The 24,112-nt window shown below is 42.1% G+C and overlaps 1 protein-coding gene across 5 annotated transcripts, besides 5 other annotated features; it reads right to left on the bottom strand.

Moving 5' to 3' along the window:
• On the bottom strand, positions 482-9,109 carry ZNF304 (zinc finger protein 304). Of its 5 annotated transcripts, XM_011527145.3 has the most exons (5): positions 8,683-9,109; positions 7,645-7,725; positions 6,529-6,655; positions 4,969-5,109; positions 482-4,350 (listed from the first exon to the last, which is right to left on the bottom strand). In XM_011527145.3, exons 3-5 carry the CDS (start codon positions 6,560-6,562, stop codon positions 2,531-2,533), a joined length of 1,995 nt encoding a protein of 664 aa, XP_011525447.1. In that variant the 5' UTR covers positions 6,563-6,655; positions 7,645-7,725; positions 8,683-9,109; the 3' UTR covers positions 482-2,530. The 5 variants fall into 5 exon arrangements, with proteins under 5 accessions (XP_011525447.1, NP_001277248.1, NP_001316385.1 ...); NM_001290319.2 differs by lacking the exon at positions 4,969-5,109; NM_001329456.2 differs by lacking the exon at positions 7,645-7,725 and having other exon boundaries at positions 4,596-5,109.
• Positions 8,215-9,073: an enhancer, noted in NCBI's record as "H3K27ac hESC enhancer chr19:57862675-57863533 (GRCh37/hg19 assembly coordinates)". NCBI's record gives its function as "activates a minimal SCP1, AML or CMV promoter by ChIP-STARR-seq in naive H9 embryonic stem cells {active_cell/tissue: H9 hESC(naive)}" and the evidence as "EXISTENCE:reporter gene assay evidence [ECO:0000049][PMID:30033119]".
• Positions 8,215-9,116: a biological region, named in NCBI's record as "H3K27ac hESC enhancer GRCh37_chr19:57862675-57863533".
• Positions 8,807-8,876: an enhancer, noted in NCBI's record as "active region_15134". NCBI's record gives its function as "activates an Ori minimal core promoter by ATAC-STARR-seq in GM12878 lymphoblastoid cells {active_cell/tissue: GM12878}" and the evidence as "EXISTENCE:reporter gene assay evidence [ECO:0000049][PMID:35858748]".
• Positions 9,027-9,116: an enhancer, noted in NCBI's record as "active region_15133". NCBI's record gives its function as "activates an Ori minimal core promoter by ATAC-STARR-seq in GM12878 lymphoblastoid cells {active_cell/tissue: GM12878}" and the evidence as "EXISTENCE:reporter gene assay evidence [ECO:0000049][PMID:35858748]".
• Positions 9,074-9,933: an enhancer, noted in NCBI's record as "H3K27ac hESC enhancer chr19:57861815-57862674 (GRCh37/hg19 assembly coordinates)". NCBI's record gives its function as "activates a minimal SCP1, AML or CMV promoter by ChIP-STARR-seq in naive H9 embryonic stem cells {active_cell/tissue: H9 hESC(naive)}" and the evidence as "EXISTENCE:reporter gene assay evidence [ECO:0000049][PMID:30033119]".

Below are 24,112 nucleotides of genomic sequence, written 5' to 3'. Positions count from 1 at the left end.
AAATGGTACAGCCACAGCCCGTTGCAGTGGCTCACCCCCGTTATCCCAGCACTTTGGGAGGCCGAGGAGGGTGATCACTTGAGGTCAGGAGTTTGAGACCAGCCTGGCCAACATGGTAAAAACCCATGTCTACTAAAATAGGTGGAGGTTGCAGTGAACCAAGATCATACCACTGCACTCCAGCCTGGGTGACAGAGTGGAGACTCTGTCTCAAAAAATATATATAAATAAAATAAATGGTGCAGCCGCTTTGGAAGACAGCTTGGCAGTTTCTTACAAGACTAAACATGCTATATGACAGAGAAAATTGCACTCCTTGGCACATATCCAAATGAGTTGAAAACATCTCCACAGAAAAACTATACAAATATGTAGTAGGTTTATTCATAACTGCCAAAACTTGAAAGCAACCGTCCTTCAATAAGTAAATGGATAAAGAAACTGAGGTGTATTTATAGAATGGAATATCATTCAGCCATAATTTGCACACAAATCTTCAGAGGTTTATTTGTAATAGCCAAAAACTGAAAGTTACCCAAACATCCATAACAATTAAGTTGACAAAGAAGAAAAATTGTGGTATACAATGAAATACTGAAATACTACGCAGCAATACAAATGAGCAAACAATTGATTCATGCAACAAGATAATGGATTAACCTTAAAATAGTTATGTTTACTGAAAAAGCCAGAGCCCCACCCCCTAAAAAGTACACACCATATGGTTTCATTTATAAAATTATAGAAAATGCTTGCTGTTGCTTGTGAATTGTGGAAAACAAGATAAGGAAAAATTGAGGATTATAAAGGGACAATCTTTTGTTGTGTTGGATATCTTGACTGTGGTGGTTTCATAGGTGTACACACATGCTGAAACAGCACATTTTACACTTTACATATTTGCAGTTTATTGCATGTTAATCATACCTCCATAAAGCTATTAAATAAATGTTCCTCATTAAAATCTATATATACTGTTCCACTAGGAAAGTTAGATCTGTCAACTATTTTGGCTTTACCATATTCCTCTCCCTACAATTTAGGAGAGTGAGCCCTGCCTCAATGTTGGTAAAAATTGGTAAGCAATGATGTCCACATCCACCTCAGTCACTCGGAATGCTGGCTGGGTCAGAGAAGACCCATCCCTGGATCTCTCTTCTGTCACTGCTGAGGTTCCTGTCTGTGCAGGTCAACTGCCCAGGGAGACACAGGAATCCACAAACATTTAGATTATTTCCTCTGACAGTGGCCTTGGCCACAGGAGATACAGATGTCTGAAGGTCCTGAGAATTTCTATGCACTCCCATCCCACACCATCATAACTGCACCGAGACTTGTGGATGCCCCTCTAGAATGTTCGAATCTCCTTTTGTTTGCCACAGTCATCCCCACTCCATTATCTCAGTGCTTCTGTAGCAATCATGATTTTCACATTGCCCTACAGAGGTCTTACAGTCAATGTTACTTGCCTATGGGGTTCTGGATATCAGGGACTTGATCCTGTACAGGTACAGAAGACAGCAATCCCTCAACAGTGCTGGGGAGTACGTGACAGTTAAGGGACCCAACTTATGTTGCTTCCACAAGCACAGGAGATTTTCGCACCAACTATGCCCTCCTCACTGGGCTCACAGGAAATCCTGGCAGCCAGGCCACAAAGTTAGGCACAAAAATTTTTTCAGTCTTTCCTAGCAAGCCTAGGGCAATAGTGTAAATTAGGTCAAACTAGACTGAGAACAGTTTTCTGCCATCCTTTGGTCCCCTCTGAGGCACATAAAGGTGGTGCCCACAAAAGGTGCTACTCCCTTCATGACAGAACCCAATTCTTTTCTCAATCCACTCTACACAGTAACAAAATCCCCAAGAGTAAAGACTGCCACAATAGGCCCTTATCACTGTATAAATCAGAGCAGCATGGGACAAGCAGTTCCAAATTTGGGCGATTTGGCAGTAAGACAAGTAAGTCACAGCTATCACGTTTACAGTTAACATTGTCCATGAAGATGGAAAATCGTGTCAGGAAATCCCAGCAGACCCTAGCTCAGGTCCTTTTGGTGAGAGCTAGATCATGTTTGCTCAGAACCTAATCATGAGGGAAAAGATGAGGACCCTCAATGGTAGGGGGTGAAGTGGGGGGGGGGGGAAGTCCTTGAAAATATTCATGATTACCTGTAGGGAACAGGAAAGAAAGCACAGAAGTCTGCCTTCCCTGAGCAAAATGGAGTGATTGACACACACAGCTGGTAGCAATAAGATGGCTTCCGCCACAGGCACTGGCAGTGATATAATTCCATCAAGAGCTCTAGACAGTTACAAAGTGCAACACACCTCATGAAAGCCTCCCACATATGTGGTGCTTATCAGGAATCTCCCCAGGGTGGAATGAATATACGGTGCTCATCTGCTAGCTGATGGTTCCCTCACAAAGGGTACTCACAGAGCATTGCTCTGGTGTGAGTCCTATGAGGATGAACAAGATGACATATTTTCTGCATTCATAAGGCCTTTCTCTTGTGTGAATTTTCTGGTGTTAAACAAGTTTAAGAGATGCAGCTAAAGGGCCACCAAAACTGTTGCACTCGTGAGCTCTTTCTCCAGTGTGAGCTTTCTGGTGACGAACAAGATGGGAGCTTCTGCTATAGGCTTTCCCACATTCGCTGCATACGTAAGGCTTTTCTCCAGTGTGAACCCTCTGGTGCAGAATGAGGCCAGAGTTGCGGCTAAAGAATTTCCCACATTCACTGCACTCATAAGGTCTTGCTCCAGTGTGAACTTTCTTGTGTTGAACAAGGTGGGAGCTACTAATGTAAGCCTTCCCACATTCACTGCACACATAAGGCCTTGCTCCTGTGTGAACTCTCTGGTGCAAAATGAGGCTGGAGTTGTGGCTAAAGCATTTCCCACATTCATTGCACTCATAAGGCTTTGCTCCAGTGTGAATTCTCTGGTGTACAATAAGGTTGGAGCTATGGCTGAAGAATTTACCACATTCACCACACTCATAAGGCCTTTCTCCAGTGTGGATTTTTTGGTGTTGCACAAGTGTGTCTTTACGGCTGAAGGCCTTCCCACATTCACTGCACTCATAAGGCCTTGCTCCAGTGTGAATTATCTGGTGCTGAACAAGTGTGTCTTTGCAGCCAAAGGCCTTCCCACATTTGCTGCACACGTAGGATCTTGCTCCTGTGTGGACTCTCCGATGTTTAATGAGGCTAGAGTTATGGCTAAAGAATTTTCCACATTCTATGCATTCATAGGGCCTTGCCCCGGTATGAATTCTCCAGTGCTCAATAAGGTGGGAGCTTTGGCTAAAGAATTTTCCACATTCACTGCACTCATAAGGCCTTTCTCCAGTATGAAATCTCTGGTGCTGAACAAGTGTGTCTTTACGGCTAAAGGCTTTCCCACATTTGTTGCACTTATAAGGCCTTTCTCCTGTGTGAATTCTCTGGTGCTGAACAAGGTGGGAGCTTCTGCTGTAGGCTTTTCCACATTCACTGCAGTCATAAGATCTTTCTCCAGTGTGAACTCTCTGATGCTGAACAAGTGTGTCCTTGCGGCTGAAGGCCTTCCCACATTCACTGCATGTATAGTGTCTTTTTCCAGTGTGAAATTTCTGGTGCATTTTTAGGTGGTGCAAGTGAATGAAGGCTTTTCCACACTCCTTACACACATGAGATATTTCTCCACTGTGGATTTTTCTGTGATTAATAAGAGCTGATTTCTCCTTGAACACATTTCCACATGGTAGGCATCTGAAGGGTCTCACCTCAGCATGAGTCATCTGGCTGTCAAGAAGAGTAAAGGTGTCCAGGAAGGCTTTCCCTTCATCACCGCAACTGAAAAGCATCTGTCCATCATAGTCTCCTTGGTGTTGCCTGAGACTGGAGCTGTGTGGGAAAGACTCCATGCATTCAGTCCTTCTGCATGGACTCACCCTATTGTAAGTGGTCTGGTGCTGGAAAAGGCCAGAGCTATCTGGTAAGTCCATCCCTTCCTCCCTGCACGTAAAGGATCTCCCTAACATGTGGACTGTACAGCTCTTCACAAATGAGGCCCCTCCATCATCCCCTCTGAAGCAATTCTCTCCATTATGTTGCTTCTGGTGCTGGTAAAAGTTTGCACTGAACGAGAATCTTCTCCTACACAGCCCACGTGTGCACAGTTTCTGTGTAAGGTGTGATCCCTGGTGTTCAGCCAGGTGCAAAATGTCTTTCAAGAGTGGGTCACACATCTCACATGGGTGTGCTTTCTGGAAAAGACCTGACTCAGCAGTCCTGACCTGTGACACTCCTTCTACAGAAACGCTCTGCTCAGAAGGTGCCTCATGTTCTGCTTCACACCAAAAACCTGAAAGCAAAAAAGAGCTGGTGAAGTGCATGCTGACTTTGGTGGGAGGCAGCAGCCCCATCACAAATGTGTGTCTAACACCAGTGCGAGTCCACTGGCTTGTTGGCAGGACAAGAGGGCCAGGATCAGTGTAAAGAAGGGCTGGTTGTCAGTATAGGGCCTCACAGAATGGAGGAACCCTGACTATGAGGTAAAGACCTAAAAACAATGGCATAGAGTATAGGGAGTATAGGTGAAGCCTCTACCTGATTCCTCTGCAAGAGAGTTTCAGCAGGGCCTTGGCCGCTGGTGTCAGGTGAGCTCTGTGCAGATGGGTATGTCCATGCCCACGAAAATCTGACTCCAAATAAGTAGCTCATTCTCACGGACTATTTAATGTGCAGAACTCATGACACATTAAAGTAAGCTAGTGTTGAAGAGAGCAATTGAAACACGGAGGCCAGAAAAGTGGGAAAACACCCAAAGGATGGAAGACACGTGAGAAATGACAAATGGAAAAAGTGCCAAGAATGAGGAAAGTAAAGTAGATGTGAAGAATCACTATGGGCCTTGGCAACAAAACACTGACAAACACAAAACAAGTTGAAGGTTCGATTTGAACCCAACCATAACAGATACCCTCTTCCAGCTCCCATTCAGCAGGGCCATGCCCTCTGTAGGTCTCCTTTACTGTGGCTGCAGTGATGTCTGCCCTGTCAGGCACCCAAGGTTTTCTGCCCCCTCCAACTGCGCAACTGCATGGGACTGGGAAAATGAAAGCTGTAACGCAAACAAAGGGCAGGTGAGTGGCGCAGGTAGACCCACTCCACAGAGAAAATAGAATGTTTAGAAAAAATACTCTCCAAGGCGGATGTACCAGGACAGCCCTGTAATCACCACAAGAAGTGACTGTGTCAGCCCCTGAAATTCCTGGCACAGTCAGGCCCCAGGAAATGTCAGCCAGAGGATGAGGGCAGAATCTAGGACAAAGAGGTGCAAAGATCATGACACGGACTCAGGCAGTGGGCACCTGAGCTGTGTAGAATCTGCTTAGCAGACTGAAAAACTCCCGAATCCTAACCTTTTCCTGCAAAGCTCTAGGGCAACAGATGTTCAGATTACCCAGTGAAGGCAGAAACACTGAACACAGCCAGCCCTAGAACCCACAGCACCTACTCTGGGAAACAAAGAAGGGAAGGAGAAGAGTCATGGATCTGGATGGACAGAAAGAGTGGCCCATGGGGAAGAGAAGAAGACTCAAACCCCACCAAGGACACCGGAGTGGGTGTAAAGGCCTGTGGAACACAGCCTCTGAGATGGTCCCAGTGATCCCTACCTCTTGGTACTCTTGCCCCTGTGTAAGCCTCCTCACTTGATTGTAAGCTGGATGGACTTACTTATTTCCAAGGAATAGAATATGGCAAAAATAATGAAATGACACTTTCAAGATTAGGTTACAATCCTGGGCTTCCATCTTGAACATTCTTTTGGTCACTTGCTCAAAGAGAAGTTAGCTTCTGTGTCATAAGGTACAATACAGACAGGCCACCTGAGGGAGGACTTTGGCCAACAGCCAGCAAGGAACAGTGCTCACAGTCCAACAAGCCACAAGAAACTAAATCTTGCAAAAAGCAATGTGAGTGAGCTTGTAAGTGGATTCTTCTCAGGTAAGACCACAACACTGGCTGAGAGCTTGATTAAAACTTCATGAGAGCCAAAAGCACCTGCATAAGAAGGTGTGATCAGGCTGGGCACACTGGCTCAAGCCTGTAATCCCAGCACTTTGGGAGGCCAAGGAGGAAGGATCGCTTGAGGTCAGGAGCTCTAGACCAGCCTGGGCAACGTAGCAAGACCTTATCTCTACAAAAAGTAAAATAGCCGGGCGTGGTGGCATGCACCTATAGTCCCAGCTACTCAGGAGGGTGAGGTGGGGGGGATCACTTGAGCCCAAGAATTTGAGGCTGCAGTGAACCATGATCACAACACTGCACTGTAGCCTGGGTGACAGAGTAAGACTCTCTGAAAAAACAAAAAACAAAAAACAAAAAAAAAACCCTCAAAATAATAAACAACAAAAAATGCTCTAACCAGATTACCAATGCACTGAAACTGGAGAGATAATTGATTTTTATTGTTTGCAGTTACTAAGCTTTGGGATAATTTGCCATGTAGCATTAGATAACTAAAACACAGACTTACCTAGTGTAGCCACAAGTGCAAAGTTCTCCAGCATCACATCACGGTACAGGAATCTCTGTGCCTCCTCAAGGAGTTCCCACTCCTCCCGAGAGAAGTACACGAACACATCCTCGAAGGTCACACAACTCTGCCATGATAAGTACAGCTGAGTCCACAGTCAGCATCTCTCCCCAGAACCCCCTCCTCCCCAGTCTACACACTCACACACCCACTCTCTAGTCCCTCGCCTCCCCAGCCTCCCAACTAAGAGGAGATAACAGACCTTGGCACCACTAGTGTCTGCTCTCTCCTCATGTCCCTCTCACCACTGTGTCCAGCCCAGAGCAGAACCAGGCAAGTGTGCAGACAGATGCTGTCTCAACTCTGGGTCTGGCATGAAGGGTCCCAAATACTCGCCTACCAACCAGTTCTCCTGGTGTTGTCCAGACGATGCCTCTAAACACAACCAAACTTCAGCTCCATCTTCTCCCATGAGCTGCCAATACTAGAGTCTTAAGGGCATCAGTTCACACTCCTCCCAACGTGCTCATTACTCTTTGGACTACACCTTCCTCACATCTGAGATCCCCACCGCCACTGGCCCATGCCATATGCACCTCCATGACATCCCTCATCCCCCATGCCACTCTGCAAGCAGTGTCCAGGAAGCGCTCGCGTCTTCACACTATCCACCACTGCCGTCCAGGTGCCTAAGCAACAGACCCAGTTTTCTCTCAGTGTCCAGTTTCAACTTTCTTACTGAATAACAGCATTACCACCATGATTTGAAGATACCCCATCCCACTCCACACACTGGCCACCATTTTTTTCAACTTCTTCAACAGAACCCTTCCCCAGAACTAAAAACCTGTGTGTTTTCCTGAGGCCTCAACTAAGATGACAACTGAGACCTCTTAACCTAAACATGACCAAAGCCTAACTCCTGATATAACCACTAAAAATCATACCTGCTGCCAACTTCTCTATCTCAGTTGATGGCATTTTCATAATTTTACCAGCTACAGCAAAAACAAACCAACCTTAGGGTCATCCACGACTCTCCTCTCTTTCACCTTTCGCATCAAAAAATCCAATCACCCTACTTTAAAAAACAGAAAATTTACCAACTTCTCTCACCTCCACAGCCACACCTCTAGACCAGACACCATCAACACTACTGCAGTAGCTGCTCCCTCATGCTCACAGTCTGTTCTCAACCTGAAAGCCAGAGAGAGCATGTTAAAATCTGAGTCAGATCATCTCCCTCCTCTGCTCCAAATCTCCCACGACTTTTACCACACTCAAGACACCTCGGCCAGCCATTCCTGCCTAACTCCTTCCTCTGATACCTGTTTCCAACAAAGGTAATTAAGACCTGAGATTCCCTGAGCGCTCCAAACTCAATCCTACAAGCATTTGAGCGTACCTGTTCCTAGGTCTGATATACTTTTGCAGTACTCATCCCATTGGTCGCCAGGTGGGGACTTCTCCACATAACTCCATACAACTCATGGCCTGGATTCAGGACACTAAACTAGAAATGACCTCCATTCACTGCCCCCTGTCTCAAGTGAAGACAGTCATGTGAAGAATCCCAGGATATCATCACTATGTCTCATCAGAGAATCTGGTCAGCCTTCCTTATAAAATACATACAAAACCCAAAACCCATACATTCTCTAACCTCTGCTGCCACCACTCTGGCCCAGACCATCAACGCTCACCTGGACTATTTCAGTAGACTTCATCTTGATCTCCCCGTCTACCCTATAATCCCTAGTCTACCCACTCTGCAGCCAGAGGGAGCCTTTTAAGAACTGCGTCAGAGGACCTCCCTTCTCTGTACCAAACCTTGCATGACTCCCAGCACCCTCAGAAGAGAGGACCAGCTCCTCGGGCGGCCATTCCAGGCCTACCTCTGACCCCCTAGTCCCTGTTCTCACCAGGCACAGAGAGTTCCCGGAACTCCCCAAACTCATTCTCCTCTCCATGCATGCATTTGTACGAACTGCCCCTGCGCCTTCGAGTCCGTTCCACACCTTATGCCACTGATGAGGGGAGCGGAACCCCTCCACATAATGCGACGGAGTGAGCACCCTGAAGTGCGCGATGAGAGCGAACATCCCAGGACACACCAACCAGGCCGGGGTGCGCTTGAGGGATGCCCCCACTCACCTGAACCCGGTCCATCAGCACCGCCGCTGCCATGAGAAGCGGATGAACAGTCTGTGCCCTGTGGGCTCAGCCGAAACCCCACGCCTCCACCGCGCTGGACGCCCTCGGGCTGAGTGTAGCACTCCAAGTCTCAATCTACCCGGTGTAAAAACGCTCACAAGACTAAGGCGGCTGCTTCTGGGGGAGACAAGGACAAGAGGACGTGTGTGGAGGCCTCGGTAAGAGCCCAGCCCCGGCAGACACCTCCGCGAGAGGCCGCCCGTCCCACGACAGGGGTCATGGATTGTAACAAAAGCGCGAAGGAAGGTCCTGCAGTCTTCACTGTCTTTCTTTGCTAGGTTCCACGAGAGCCGCGTAGAAAGCCGACCCGATCTCTAGAACTCAGCCTTCACAACCAGAATGCACGGACCGGGCATAGGAAAAATACGTCACGACGGCGACGCCAGAAGTCTCGCCCCTGCAGCCCAGAGCAGCAGGAAACGCCCAGTTTCTGGGCTGTCATTGGCTGCACGCCGGCTAACAATGAGCTGGGCACAGATTTCTGGGTAACGTAGTTTGTACCCTGCATCCAACCAGGCAACGAGCGCCTTTCGGGTTCTCCCGGATGTCTGCCAAGAGGCGTCGTGCAGGGAGGGGGAGAAAAGACTGGGAAAACGATATCTCGGAGGCCACAGCTGCTTTTAAAGGGTATGCACCCTGATTTCCATGGCCACCTGGGACAATGCCACGCCACTGAAGTCGCCAGCAAGGGACCCATTCTTCAATCCTGCTTCTGAGGCCCTGGGAAACCTGCTTCACCTCTCTCAGATTTGGGGATTGAAACGTATTAATAAATTGAACGTTGTCTGTATTTCGTTTGTGGGCCTTTTTGTAAAACATTGAATGTCCTTCTAATTTTTCTAACATATAAAGAAAAGAGATGTAATTAGCTACCTTTCTGCTGGCTGTACAGGAAGCATGGTGCCCGTATCTGCTTCTGGTGAGGCCACAGGGAACTTTTATTCATGGCGAAAAGTGAAGGAGGAACTTACATGTAACATGACGAAAACATGAGCCTCTTCTAATTCATTGCTTCCCAATTTGATATGTAGTTTTACAGCATCAGCTTCACTATGAACTTAAAAAACCTGTGAATTCTTGGACCCAACCTATACCTTCTGATAAACTCTGGGGATGGGACCCTAGCTGAAGTTCAAGAACTGGAGGTCTTTTAAAGTCATTAGCCAAAAACAAAACAAAACAAAAACAAACAAAAAAAAATCAGTAAGATGAAAAACACTACAACCAACCTCATTAGGAATATGGGAAGTGAGGTAAAAAGTACTTAACACCAGGCCTGGCACATCGTGCTAAATACATACAAGCTGTTATCAGTCTTCCTCAACACAAGGTTCTCACATACACTGCTTTAGGAAGATAAATCAAAGATCCACCTTTTCAGGATCAGTGTGATTTTGAAAAAAAAAGAAAAAAGTACAATTATTCCCTCACTCATCAAATAGCATCATAGATAATAGTTATAATTTTTTTTTGAGACAGAGTTTCACTCTTGTTGCCCAGGCTTAAGTGCAATGGCACGATCTCAGCTCACTGCAACCTCTCCCTCCCAGGTTCAAGCGATTCTCCTGCCTCGGCCTCCCGAGTAGCTGGGATTACAAGCATCCGCCACCATGCCCGGCTAATTTTGTATTTTTAGTAGAGATGGGGTTTCTCCGTGTTGGTCAGGCTGGTCTCGAACTCCTGACCTCAGGTGATCCAACTGCCTCAGTCTTCCAAAGTGCTGGGATTACAGGTGGGAGCCCCTAATGGTTATAATTTTTGCACAAAAGCACACCAATATATCAATAGACTCATTTAATTGAAAAAAATCACATGCAAGAGGGTTTCATAAACTACAGGTAGGTCTATCGTCCAGAAGACACATTCTTATAGGCTGTATGATTCAAAACACAGAACTATCAAGACTAATTGCTCTTCATAATTTTTAACTCCACTGTCCACTTAAGAGTCACTGTAGTTAAAATTTTATAACCTGGTTTATTTTATGAGATGACATAGAAATAATTCATATCTTTGAGAAAAAATATATATACACACATACACACAGCATTTATATATATATACACATGTAGTTTATATACACACATACATAATTATATATATGTATAATATAAATTATCTGTCTCCACTCAAAGCCAATATAAATTTAGGTGTCAGGAACACATGGAATAACATACGGAGTCAGTTACAGATATAACTGCCAGCAGATTTCTATGCACGACAAATGCACTGGCTAAGAAAAACTGAAATAAGACTATTTGAAGCCCAAAATGAGAAATTTAATGGATAAAAATAACTGGCATAAAATAACACTTTTAAGATCCTTCTTAAGGTTGAAGGAAAGTGATCCCAGGTGATGGTCTGTGATGATAGAAGAAATGAGGATCTGAGAGAGGAGTGCATCTATGGATTAATGAGACCACTCATTATCTGTATAAAATATTAATACTGTTGGGCGCGGTGGCTCACGCCTGTAATCTCAGCACTTTGGGAGGCCAAGGCAGGCGGATCACGAGCTCAGGAGTTCGAGACCAGCCTGTCCAACATGGTGAAACCCTGTTTCTACTAAAAATACAAAAATTAGCCAGGCGTGGTGGTGGGCGCCTGTAATCCCAGCTACTCAGAAGGCTGAGGCAGGAGAATCACTTGAACCCGGGAAGCGGAGGTTGCAGTGAGCCAAGACTGTGCCACTGCACTCCAGCCTAGGCAACAGAGTGAGACTGCATCTCAAAATAAATAAATAAATAAAAATTAAAATAAAAAATAAAATAAAATATTAATACTTCTGGAAACAGAATGGTGGAATTACCATGCATATCCTCAATAGTATATAAACTCATATGGGCAAATTAACTAACATATAAGTTTCTTATATTTCTTGAGGAGAGCAAATACATTAACTCTATAATGTATTAAATAACTGTTTTAAAGCTTAAACATTAACTGAATCAGAGTATATATCTTACAAATTTAAAGAAAATGTAAATGTAAAGAAAACATTACAAAAAATAAAGTACACACAATAAGTAAGGCAAAGAAAAGCACACACACAACCAGAGGATGTATATAAACCCAAATATATCAGCTATCTCATGAAATGAGTATGGAATAAATTCTTAAATTAGCACTTAGTAAGTTTTGATGTGTTAAAAATTTCCAAAAGGCCAGGCACAGAGGCTCATGCCTATAATTCCTGCAATGTGGGAGGCTGAAGCAAGAGAACTGCTTGAGGTCAGGAATTCTATTAATAGATCAGCCTGAGCCACGTAACAAGGCCCCATCTCTACCAAAAAAAAAAAAAAAAAAAAAAAAAAAGTAATAGCAGGGTGTGGTGGCACAAGCCTGTAATCCCAGCTACTCAGGAGGCTGAGCCAGGATGATGACTTGAGCCAAGGCTGCACAGAGTTCTGATGGTGTCACAGCACTCCGGCCTGGGAGAGACAGTAAGACCGTCTCTCATAAAGAACAAAAACAAAAAACAGTAGTATGGGTACAAGAAACACTTGTAGAGTATAATATTAGAAAACTATATGAAACAGCTTTGGGAAAAATATATTTAATACAACAAAGAATTAACACATGAAAATGAAAATTTATATCAGAAAATATCAGTATTAAAGAAACGATCACTGGCCAAGTGCAGTGGCTCATGCCTGTAATCCCAGCACTTTGGCAGGTCAAGGCAGGTGAATCAGGAGTTCAAGACCAGCCTGGCCAACATGGTGAAACCCCGTCTCTACTAAAAATACAAAATTAGCTGGGCGTGGTGGCGGGCACCTGTAGTCCCAGCTACTCAGGAGGCTGAGGTGAGAGAATCGCTTGAACCCGGCAGGCGGAGGTTGCAGTGAGCCGAGAGATCACGCCATAGCACTCCAGCCTGGGCGACAAGAGCTAAACTCCATCTCAAAAACAAAAAAAAAAAGAAAGAAAGAAAGAAAGAAAACAAAAAAAGAAAGAAATGATCACCAAGAAATTATATTTTGAACTCTATGTAATGTATAATGCTGACTTGTATTACATAAAGCAACAATTTGTAAAAGGATAAAGACATAAATCTATGAATATGCTGAGCATTTTTATGTCCATTATCTCAGCAATTAGTAGAAACAATATAAAATTGTTAAAGTTCTAGTGAATTCTCATGCCAAGATTGATAATTCTGGTCTAATAAATACAAATATGGGGTGCTTATATTTAGTACAACTGAATATTTACAGAACTATCAATATAGATGACTGAAAACTATCTTCAATTCACATAGAGTGAAATAAGACACATGATGCTATCAAGATATGAATCAATAAAAGAGATACATGGAAAATATGAAAAGAAGTAAATATACTCTGTGGGAGGCTAAGCCTCAGCAGGATCTTTGGCATTTATCAAAACATAAAATACAATAACACCCTAACTCAGCAGCTAGCCTCATAGGTATGATTAAAGATTTTACATGAAAGCACACATTTGGGTTATTTCTTCAACAGTTCAGAAAAAGTGTGCCTAAAACCATAGGTAGGCATGCTGCTCAAGAGACTCGTTATTACAGGCCACAAGATTCAAATTTTTGGACTGTAGTCCCAGTTATTCGGGAGGCTGAGACAGGAGAATGGCTTGAGTCTAGGAGTTCAAAGCTGCTATGTGCTATGATCCCGCCACTGTACTCTAGCCCGAGCAACAGAGCGAGACCCTGTCTCTAAAACTAAAATTTTAAAAAGAAGATTCTAATTTTGGAAATAGCAGGACTAATTGCTCTCAGACCTAAGTGGAGAGTAGAATTCATCCCGTTTCAAGTTTGTGACTTTAGAGGACACTTCCTTATTCATCTTTCATTCACAGTAACCGAAACCTGCCTCTCTACCTCTCGTTCTCCCTTCTGGCACTCAAGGCAGGTAGATCCAATCACAAACTTGATTATGAGAGGGTCCTGCCTGAAACTAAGAGACATAAGTCAGGTCCTGTCCTCATCAAAACATCACCAGCTGGGCGTGGCGGCTCACGCCTGTAATCCCAGCACTTTGGGAGGCCGAGGCGGGCAGATCACCTGAGGTTGGGAGTTCAAGACCAGCCTGACCAACATGGAGAAACCCCGTGTCTAGAAATACAAAATTAGCCAGGCCTGGTGGCATATGCCTGTAACCCAAGCTAGTCGGGAAGCTGAGGCGGGAGAATTGCTTGGACCCGGGAGGCGGAGGTTTCGTTGAGCGGAGATCGCACCATTGCACTCCAGCCTGGGCAATAAGAACGAAACTCCATCTCCAAAAACAAAAACAAAACACAAAAAAACCACCATCACCGCTGAGTACAGTGGCTCATGCCTGTAATCCCAGCACTTTGAGAGGCCGAGGTGGGTGGATCACTTGAGGTCAGGAGTTCAAGACCAGCCTGGCCAACATGGTGAAACCCCGTCTCTACTAAAAATACAAAAATTAGCAGGGCATGGTGTTGGGTGCCTGTAATCCCAGCTACTTGGGAGGCTGAGGCAGGAGAATCGCTTGAACCTGGGAGGTGGAAGTTGCAGTGAGCCGAGATTCTGCCATTGCATTCCAGCCTGGGCGACAAGAGCAAAACTCTGTCTCAAAAGCAAAACAAAAGCAAAAACAAAAACAAAACAAAACAAAACACCACCGCCATCAAATTTTGTTTCTGTAGCACAGGAAGACTATAGTCACAATATAAATTGTCTCCACTCACATCCAGTATATAGTGACTCATGGATGTAGTGGAAGGATACAGTGAAGTTACTGAAGAAATAAGTGCAAACCTAGATTTCTATTCACAACAATAGTGTTTTTCAAGAAGCAGTATAAAATAAGACCATATGAGGTAAAAAATGAAAATTTTAGTTAAAAAGGTAACCCAAAAGGTTATATTTAAGGCAAAAAAAAAGTGATTCCAGGTGAGAGATCTGCGTGATATAAGGAATGCATCTGCGGATCAATACAATTATTCATTATCTGTATAAAACATGAACAATATCCCCTTGTTGAGTAGAACAATAGAATTAACGATGCCTCAATACCACTACATGATAACATGCCTTATATTATCCAAGAGGAGGGTAAAGGTATTAATAACTCTATACCCTGATGTGTTAAATACATGTGTTATAATTTTCAGCTTAAAGACTAACAAAATGAGTATATACATTCCAAACTAAAAGGAAAATTAAGAATATTAATAATCTATACATGTTTTTAAAAGAAAGCACAAGAAACAAAACTGAAGAAAAGATAAGCACAAAATAAGAAGATGCATTTAAGCCCAAATATATTAGCTATCACAAGAAAAGAACATGGAATAAATTATTGAATAAGTAGGCAGTAATTTTTGATGAGTTAAAAATATCCAGTAATAATTAGTTCATAGCTTACACATCTAAGGTATAATGTCATAGAAATATATTAAATCGAGGTCTAGAAAATACATACCTGTAATTATTAAACACAAACACACACAAAAAAATGCACATTTGTATCGGACAAATAGAAATAAGGGAGAAAATATCAACAGGAAAACATACTTTACAATTTTAAACATGAATTCAAATTACATAAAACAATTTTAGTATAATGAGAATAAAGGGTTAAATCTCTAAACAAACCAGTCTGCTTTGATATTCGTTATCTCAGTAATAATATCAAAAAGGCAGGCATAACATTGGTACAGTTCTGTTGGATTCACATACCATGATGAACACATTTGGCCTGATAAATCCATATAACATAACAGACACCAATTGCAGCATGTTTTAGCACAGAGTACAAACAAAACTGAGAATAGCTAGGACAATTAAAAATCTCTTTAAACTTGTGTAAAATGAAATAAAATAATTCAATCAGGGTACAGATCAAAAATAGAAGATAACTGGAAATTTTTTAAGCTGTGGTTGCATATCAAGTCACAAAACGCTAAGTAACCCATGCATAAAGAAAACAAAGATAATCAAAATTTGAGAATATTTTATTTGCAAGATGGCATCTCCAACACCAATTTCATAGGTCTTTTAAAAGCAGTATAATTTACAGTATTCTGACAAGTTAGGAAAAATAGATGGGGTCGGCCTTTATCTTAGAGTGTGGGCTTCGGCTAGTCACCTGACTTCTCTGTACCTCTGTATTCTCACCATTACATTAAAGGAGTCTCTATGGTCCCTTAAAGTGCTCAAGCTCTATTATTAATAGTATAATTTTGTGGTTTTAAATTATCATAGGATATTCAACCTGAAGTTTTGCTTTACAATGTACCAAAACTAATGTCATTTCTACATATTCTCATGAGATTCAATGAATTTTAAAGCAATCCCATTTAATGTACATGTTATCAACAAAGGATGATAATTAGAAAGATATACATTCATTTCAAACATCTTTAAAAATAACAGAAAAATATATCCCGGTAATATGAAAAAACATCTCTACAAGCATGATTCCATTAATATAAATTTCAAAATCAGGCCATAATATAATAGCTATCATTATTGACACATATTTAAAGTGTCAAACTATGAAGAAATCTTGATAATAGCATCCTCTGAAGCGTTGGATGGAATTTGCAATCTGGCAGACTCATGCTGGGCATGCTGAGATTTTGTTCCATATTTTCATTGGAGGGTGTGGAGATTCACTGTATTGGTTTTAATGTATTACATTTATTCTTTTTTCCCATTTCTCATACATGTATAAACCTATAGATTAAGTAAACAAATCTTAAATTTATAGCTTGAAGACTACCTACATGTGTTTCCCATGTAATTCCTAGAACTGCAAATGAAGAGAACATTTCCTCCCTCTCAGGCACAAATTTGCCTTCTCTCAGTTAATGCTGCAAAAATGTGAACATTATTCTGTTTTTTTAAAAAATCACCATTTATGAGGTTTGTCTGGTTAAAAAAGTATCAATAAAATTCTACTGTATTTGCTACTGTGTGTTTGGCGTGTCACTGCCACTCGAGATTTTCTGAGGTGGAGGAGACTATATTTTTTATCATTAGTAGTTAATCCACTTCCATAACTACCATAAAACCCAGGCTAACAGTAGTGAGTTCTGGAGGTAATTACACCCACTCTAGATTTTCTGATTATAATCACTACCTTTTCTCTTAACCTCAAATGAAAACCCAGACTCATGAGGTCTCCAACCCTGACCTTTCATTCCTGGCAAATACCACGGCCAACTATATTACAGAAAGGTTTTTCATAGGAGAACACAATTTTGTGTTCCCCAAATCCAAACCCTTCACTTTGCTCTGTGAGGCAGATGGCAACCCCAAACTACAAACAGGTTGGGGCTTCCACAAGCCCCAACTCAAGTATTCCTTCCTGGAAAATTCATTCATCTTGTTGGACAAAAGTAACAGTTTTAATCTGTGTGTTTTCTTCCACTTTATGACTGTTTCACAATTTACTTAAATATCTTACAGATGACTGTCATTTGAATTATTTATAGTTGTTGATTATTGTGAAATTGTTATAAATCTTTGTGTACATGTATTTTGGTGTAAGAAAGCCCTCATTCCTAATGGTTATGTCCCCAGAGTGATTTGTTGGGTTATAAAACACATTTAATTTAATGTGAAACCCTTACCTCAGATCATATATAAACGTTAACTCAGGCCGGGCTCAGTGGCTCACGCCTGTAATCCCAGCACTTTGGGAGGCCGAGGTGGGTGGATCACCTTGAGGTCAGGAGTTGGAGACCAGCCTCACCAATAAGACAAAACCCCATCTCTACTAAAAATACGAAAATTAGCTGGGCATAGTGGCATGTGCCTGTAGTCCCAGCTACTTAGGAGGCTGAGGTACGAGAATCGCTTGAACCTGGGAGGCAGAGGTTGCAGTGAGCCAAGATTGTATCATTTTGCACTCCAGTCTGTGTGGCAGAGCGAGATTCCGTTAAAAAAAAAAAAAAAAAAGGGTCTCAGACCACATAAAAGATCTAAAAATATAAAATGCCTAGAAGAAAACATAAGTCAAAGCTTTGCAACATTGCAGTAGGCAAAGTCTAATTAGACAGGACACACACAAAAAAACATAAAGACAAAATATTTTTATTACATCAGAATTTAAGACATCTACTCTTCCAAAAACACTGCTAAGAAAATTAAAAGGCAAGTCAAAGACTGAAAAAAAAAACAATTTGCAAAACATATAACTGAGAAATGACTATAATATAGAACATTTAAAAAGGAGAAAATTAAAGCAAAGTTATGTAATTTCGTGTTAAGAAGAAAAAAGCAATTAAAAATTGAAAAAAGATTTGGACCAGCTGGGCGTGGTGGTGCGTGCCTGTAATCCGAGCTACTCAAGAGGCCGAGGCATGAGAATCAGTTGAACTTGGGAGACAGAGGTTTCAGTGAGCTAAGATTGCACCATTGCACTCTAGCCTGGGAGATAGAGCAAGATTCTGTCTCAAAAAAAAAAAAAAAAAAAAAAGATTTGGACAAATAACTAAAGATATACAAATCAACAATGAACACATGAAAAGATATTCAATATCATGAGTCATTTTAGCAATGCAACTTAAAACCCAAATAAAATACTGCAACACACCTGCTGAAATTAGTAAAATGTTTCAAAGTGACAATAAATACCAAGTGATGACAAAGATGCAGCACTGGACTCTCATACATTTTTGATGAGAATGCAAAATGATAGTCATTTTGGAAAACAACTTGACAGCTTCCTATATAGGTAAATATAAACATACCATATGATATACCAATTCTACTCTTAGTTATTTACAAAAGACAAGTTAAAATGTTTCCATCCAAATATCTGTAGCAAATATTCATGAACGTCCTATTCACGACAGCCAAAAACTTGGAAAATTGTTCACGAACAGGTGAACAGATGAACAAATTGTAGCATATCCACAAAATAAACTACTCTATATAAGAAACAATATGAAATAAAATGAATAAATCCCAAAATCATATGCCAAGTGAAAATATCTGAAAACCACATATTATATGATTCCATTCACTTCACATTCTAAAAAAGGCAAAAAGAGAAAAACCTAAATGAATGGGCCTTATAGCTGGAGTTTGGGAGACAGTTTGACTATATCAAGGAATATTTTCTTGTGATGGAAATATTTCACAGCTTTAATGGTGGTTTGTGATCACAAAATCATGTATTCATCAAAATTCACCAAAAATATTCTTAACAGGAGATTACTGAATGCAAAGTTTACTTCATTATCTTTTTTAAGAAAAATTAATAGGACTGAACATGATGGCTCATGCTTGCAATCCTAGCACTTAGGAGGGCAGAGGCAGGAGGATAGAATGAGCCTAGGAGTTCAAGACCTGCCTGGGCAACATAACAAGACCTCATTCTCCACAAAAATAAAAAAAGGCAAAAAAATTAATAGAAGAATATTTAAACTTAGAGATAATTCAAGACTACACCTTAGATATTCCCCTAGACCTGTCCAAAAAAAAAAAAAAAAGGAATGATATATAAAGAAAACATGCAAGAAAACAATGCAAAATTTGAACTTCCTTTAGAGTAAGTGAAAACATAGGGATGGCTGTATAGATTTAGGAAAGACAACCATACATCTGGCATATCATTTTATATACTAAAAATATTAATTTTGCAAAGAGAAAGTTGTACAGAGCCATGTGGGGGTTTGCACGCAACTCATGGGGAGACACTGGCTGCCACAATTTAGGAAGACTAACAGAAAACTTCATCTGACATTCCTTTAATTGGTGTGGATAAGTGATTTCCCCCAAAAATGGCAATGGCAAGGCCAGAAAAATACTGGGCATCTGAGAAACTGGATCCTCCAGAGATTTTAGTTCACTGAGGGATGGGAAGAGGTCTGTGGGGTGGTGGAAATGGGGGTTAAGGTTTTTCCCAGAACTTCCAAACAGCCTGGGTCAGCTCAGAAAACGTTGGACTAATGTTCAATCTAGGTTTAGAGCTTTGCATGGTTGAGTCCCACAGAATGGGGCAAAAAGAGGAAGACATTTCAGAAAATGAGTATGAAGTAACGATCTACAGAAGTGAGAGGGGAAAGAATGTGAAAATTGGGTGTTCATTAATAGAAAGAATGTGAAAACAGAACTTCTTACTTTTGATATTCTATGGCAGTAAACTGTGAGATGATTACTGGAGTACAGGGAGTTTATCTGAGATATGAACTCAGGATGCACAGGAATGAAAATGAGGCAGTGAGACGGAAGAGGGGGCGCAATAAAACTTTATTAGTGGCCAGGCACAGTGGCTCACACCTGTAATCCCAGCACTTTGGGAGGCTGAAGAGGGTGGATCAATTGAGGTCAAGGGTTCGAGACCAGCCTGGCCAACATGGTGAAACCCTGTCTCTACCAAAAATACAAAAATTAGCCGGGTGTGGTGGTGGACACCTGTAATCTCAGCTACTAAGAAGGCTGAGGCATGAGAATCACTTGAACCCAGGAGGCGAAGGCTGCAGTGAGCCGAGATCACACCACTGCACTCCTACCCTACAGCCTGGGGGACAGAGCCAGACTCTGTCTCAAAAAACAAAACAAAACAAAAACTTTATTAGTGAGCAGGCTGACATCCTCCCAGAGGTCATTTGATAAGACTTGTAGGAAGATGGGTTGTACAGAACAAGACATCAACAGCGTTAGCTACAAACCCTAATCCATTTGTGTCTACATTGTGATTGGATCTTTAAGGTAATGACCAGCCAGTGTTGGTATATGAAGAAGTCAATACACTCCCTTATAATGGTTTCAGCAAAGGCTCTGTTGGCAGGGAAGTTAATGTCATATCCAGAAAAAGCAGCAATGCCATTAAATAAGAATCAATGCACTGTCTGGGAGGAAAAAGGTCTGACGTAAACATGTCACCAAGGGGCAGGCTGTTCTCTTGTAGGGATTACACCATATACTGTCTTAGTGTTGGTCTTCGTAAATAGTAGGTAAGGAGCGGAGCTATTTTAGTTGTGGTCAGCAGGATGCCATGTTGTTGGGCCCTTTTAAAACCTCCATTCCTGGCTGGCTGCAGTGGCTCACGCCTGTAATCCCAGCATTTTGGGAGGCTGAGGTGGGTGGATCATGAGGTCAAGAGATCGAGACCATCCTGGCCAACATGGTGAAACCCCGTCTCTACTAAAAATACAAAAATTAGCTGGGCATGGTTGCAAGCGCCTATAATCCCAGCTACTCAGGAGGCTGAGGCAGGAGAATTGCTTGAACTCGGGAGGTGGAGGTTGTAGTGAGCTGAGATCGTGCCACTGCACTCCAGCCTGGTGACAGAGTGAGACTCCGTCTCAAAACAAACAAACAAACAAAAAACAATAACAAACAAAAAAAACCCTCCGTCCCCTAACACCTTGGTGACTATATTTTATATCCCTAGAGTGCAAGGACTGGGATGGCTGAGGACTGAGCCTGGTTAACCTTAACTACTAGGTTCCCCTCCCCTCTTCTGCAGTGGGTTTCTTTTTATAGGCACTGACGTGGGACATAAATATCCACTCACTTTGCCCACTCCAGTAATTTCATGCCCTTGTTCTATATATACTTGTCACTGATCTGCAGCACTTCTGAACAACGAGACAAACCATTTCCCACAAAAGCACACATGTATCTTTACCTCAGGGCACTTCTCCCAGCACAAAGGTAACGCCCACTTGTACTGGTCCAGCTTCAGGCCATGGAGAGGATTTCTCTACATCCCTGGCCACATCACAGCCACTCAAGGCAGGATGTGATGTATCAATCTATTTTTAGCTTACTCCAAACATCAAGATAATCCATCTATAAATAAGGCTGGGTTTGTTTTTTTTCCTATTTTTCAGCCAACCAAAAGTATGACAGTCTGATTCCATTTTTGTTTTATGGGTTTTTTTTTTTGTTGTTGTTTTTTAGACAGAGTCTCACTCTGTTGCCCCGGCTGGAGTGCAGTGGCACATTCTTGGCTCTCTGCAACCTCCGCCTCCAGGGTTCAAGCGATTCTTGTGCTTCAGCCTCCTGAGTAGCTGGAATTACAGGCATGCGCCACCATGACCGGCTAATTTTTTGTATTTTTAGTAGAGACACGGTTTCGCTATGTTGGCCACGCTTGTCTTGAACTCCTGGCCTGAGGCAATCCTCCCTGCTCGGCCTCCCAAAGTGCTGGGATTACAGGCGTGAGCCACCGTGCCTGGCCTCTGACTCCATTTTTGATATGTGACATTTGATTGTTGCCAGTTTAAAAGCCCCACCTCCCCTTTGGCCCACTTTTAAGCAACCTGATTTAAAAAGTCTACATGCTCCTTCCCTTTGCACAGCAGGAGAGCCAAACTCCCACCCCTAGCCAGTAGCAAGGCAGAAGGAGGCAGTCCAAGGCAATGCTAGTTGGCATTATACTTTCACTTCCAGGATAGCGCCATCTCAAGGCAAGCAGTGAGAGTCGTCAGCACTCCACTCCCTGCAGCCCTCTCCAAAGACAGATCAAGGTCACAAAACTTAAAAGAAGAGCGCTTCAAGGACATTTGGAACAGGTAAAATAGAGACCTAACATTTGAAACAATTAAAATAGAGGCCTGACATTTGGAACAATTAAAATAAAGACCTCACTCAGTTTTTCTGAGTTGCAAAAAGGGGGAAGGGAGTGGGAATGAAAATATTTGAAGAAATAAAGGCCAAACATTTCCCAGATTTGGCAGAAGCCATACACCTGAAGACTTGAAAAACCGAACAATCACGCAACAGGATAAACATAAAAAAATTCCACACTAGGACACATCATAATCACATTTCTGAAAACTAAAGACACACATTTTAAAAGCAGTTAGAGAGAAATGACACATTAGTAAAGAAGAAGAACAGTTCAAATGGAAGCAGATTTCTCATTTAAAACCAGAGGCCACAGGGAAGTGCTGCAATGTTTTTCAAGTTTTCCAAAAGAAAAGACTTGTCAACCATGAATCCTATACCACACAAAAATTTCCTTCAAGAATTAAGAAATAAAGATATTCTCAGATAAAAGAAAACAAAGAATATTTGTCACAGGTAGACTTATTCTAAAAAAAATGGCTACAGGAAGTTCTCCACATGCAAAGAAAATGGTAGAAGGAGGCTTCAAGATAGAAGAACAATGGAAAGGGTAAGAAATACAGGCAAAGAGACTATTCTTGTCCTTTCAACAAAGTCTGACATTATGACATAGGACTAGAGATTTTAAATAAATAGGTTTGACAACAGAAGCAGAAATTATAACATCATTCAATATGGTGCTCAGCACATGGAGAGTAAATGCTCAAGACAATTGTATTAAAAGAATAATGGGGCCGGGCGCAGTGGCTCACGCCTGTAATCCCAGCACTTTGGGAGGTTGAGGCGGGTGGATCACGAGGTCAGGAGATCAGGCCAACGTGATGAAACCCCATTTCTACTAAAAATACAAAAATTAGCTAGGCATGGTGGCAAGCGCCTGTAGTCCCAGTTACTGAAAGGCTGAGGCAGGAGAATCGCTTGAATCTGGGAGGTGGAGGTTGCAGTGAGCCGAGACTGCACCACTGCACTCCAGCCTGGCGACAGAGCGAGACTCCGTCTCAAAAAAAAAAAAAAAAAAAAAGAATAATGAGTATAAAGGGACCTAATAAAAGTAACATTTCTACAAATCACTCAAATTGCTATAATGTTGACAACCAGCAGATTGTGATTAAGTTACATAAATACATTTTAATACATAAAGTAACCACTAAAATAATTATACCAAGAAATACACTTAAAAAAGCACTATGTTAGAGCTTGCTGTTAAAATAAAATTTAAAAATTTAAAAAACACTACAGACAAACCAAAACTGAATTCTTAAAATTGTACAGGTATCCAAAAAAAAAGGCAAGAAAATAAAATATGCCAAAAACCAAACCAACACAGAAACAAAAAAAGAAAAAAAAGGAAAAAGAGGCCAGGCATGGTGGCTCACGCCTGTAAACCCAGCACTTTGGGAGGCCGAGGTGGTAGATCACCTGAGGTCAGGAGTTCGAGACCTGCCCGGCCAACATGGCGAAACCCCGTCTCTACTAAAAAAATACAAAAATTAGCCAGGCGTGGTGGCACATGCCTGTAATCCCAGCTACTCAGGAGGCTGAGGTAGGAGAATCGCTTGAACCCGGGAAGTGGAGGTTGCAGTGAGCCGAGATCATGCCACTGTACTGGAGCCTGGGCAACAGAGCAAGACTCTGTCTCAAGGGGGAAAAAAAAAAAGGAAAAGCAAAGGAAAAAAATGATATATTTAGTGCAACATATCAATAGCCACCTTAAAGATAAATGGTTTAATATACCAACTAAGAGAGATTTTCAAAGTGAAAAAGAAAAAGAGCAGGACCCAACTACATGTTGTCTACATAAAATTTACTTCAAATATAATGATGTAGGCAGGT

Source organism: Homo sapiens, chromosome 19 (genome assembly GCF_000001405.40).
Source record: "Homo sapiens chromosome 19, GRCh38.p14 Primary Assembly".
Lineage (NCBI taxonomy): Eukaryota > Metazoa > Chordata > Mammalia > Primates > Hominidae > Homo > Homo sapiens.
This window is presented reverse-complemented; position numbering and strand designations above follow the sequence as displayed.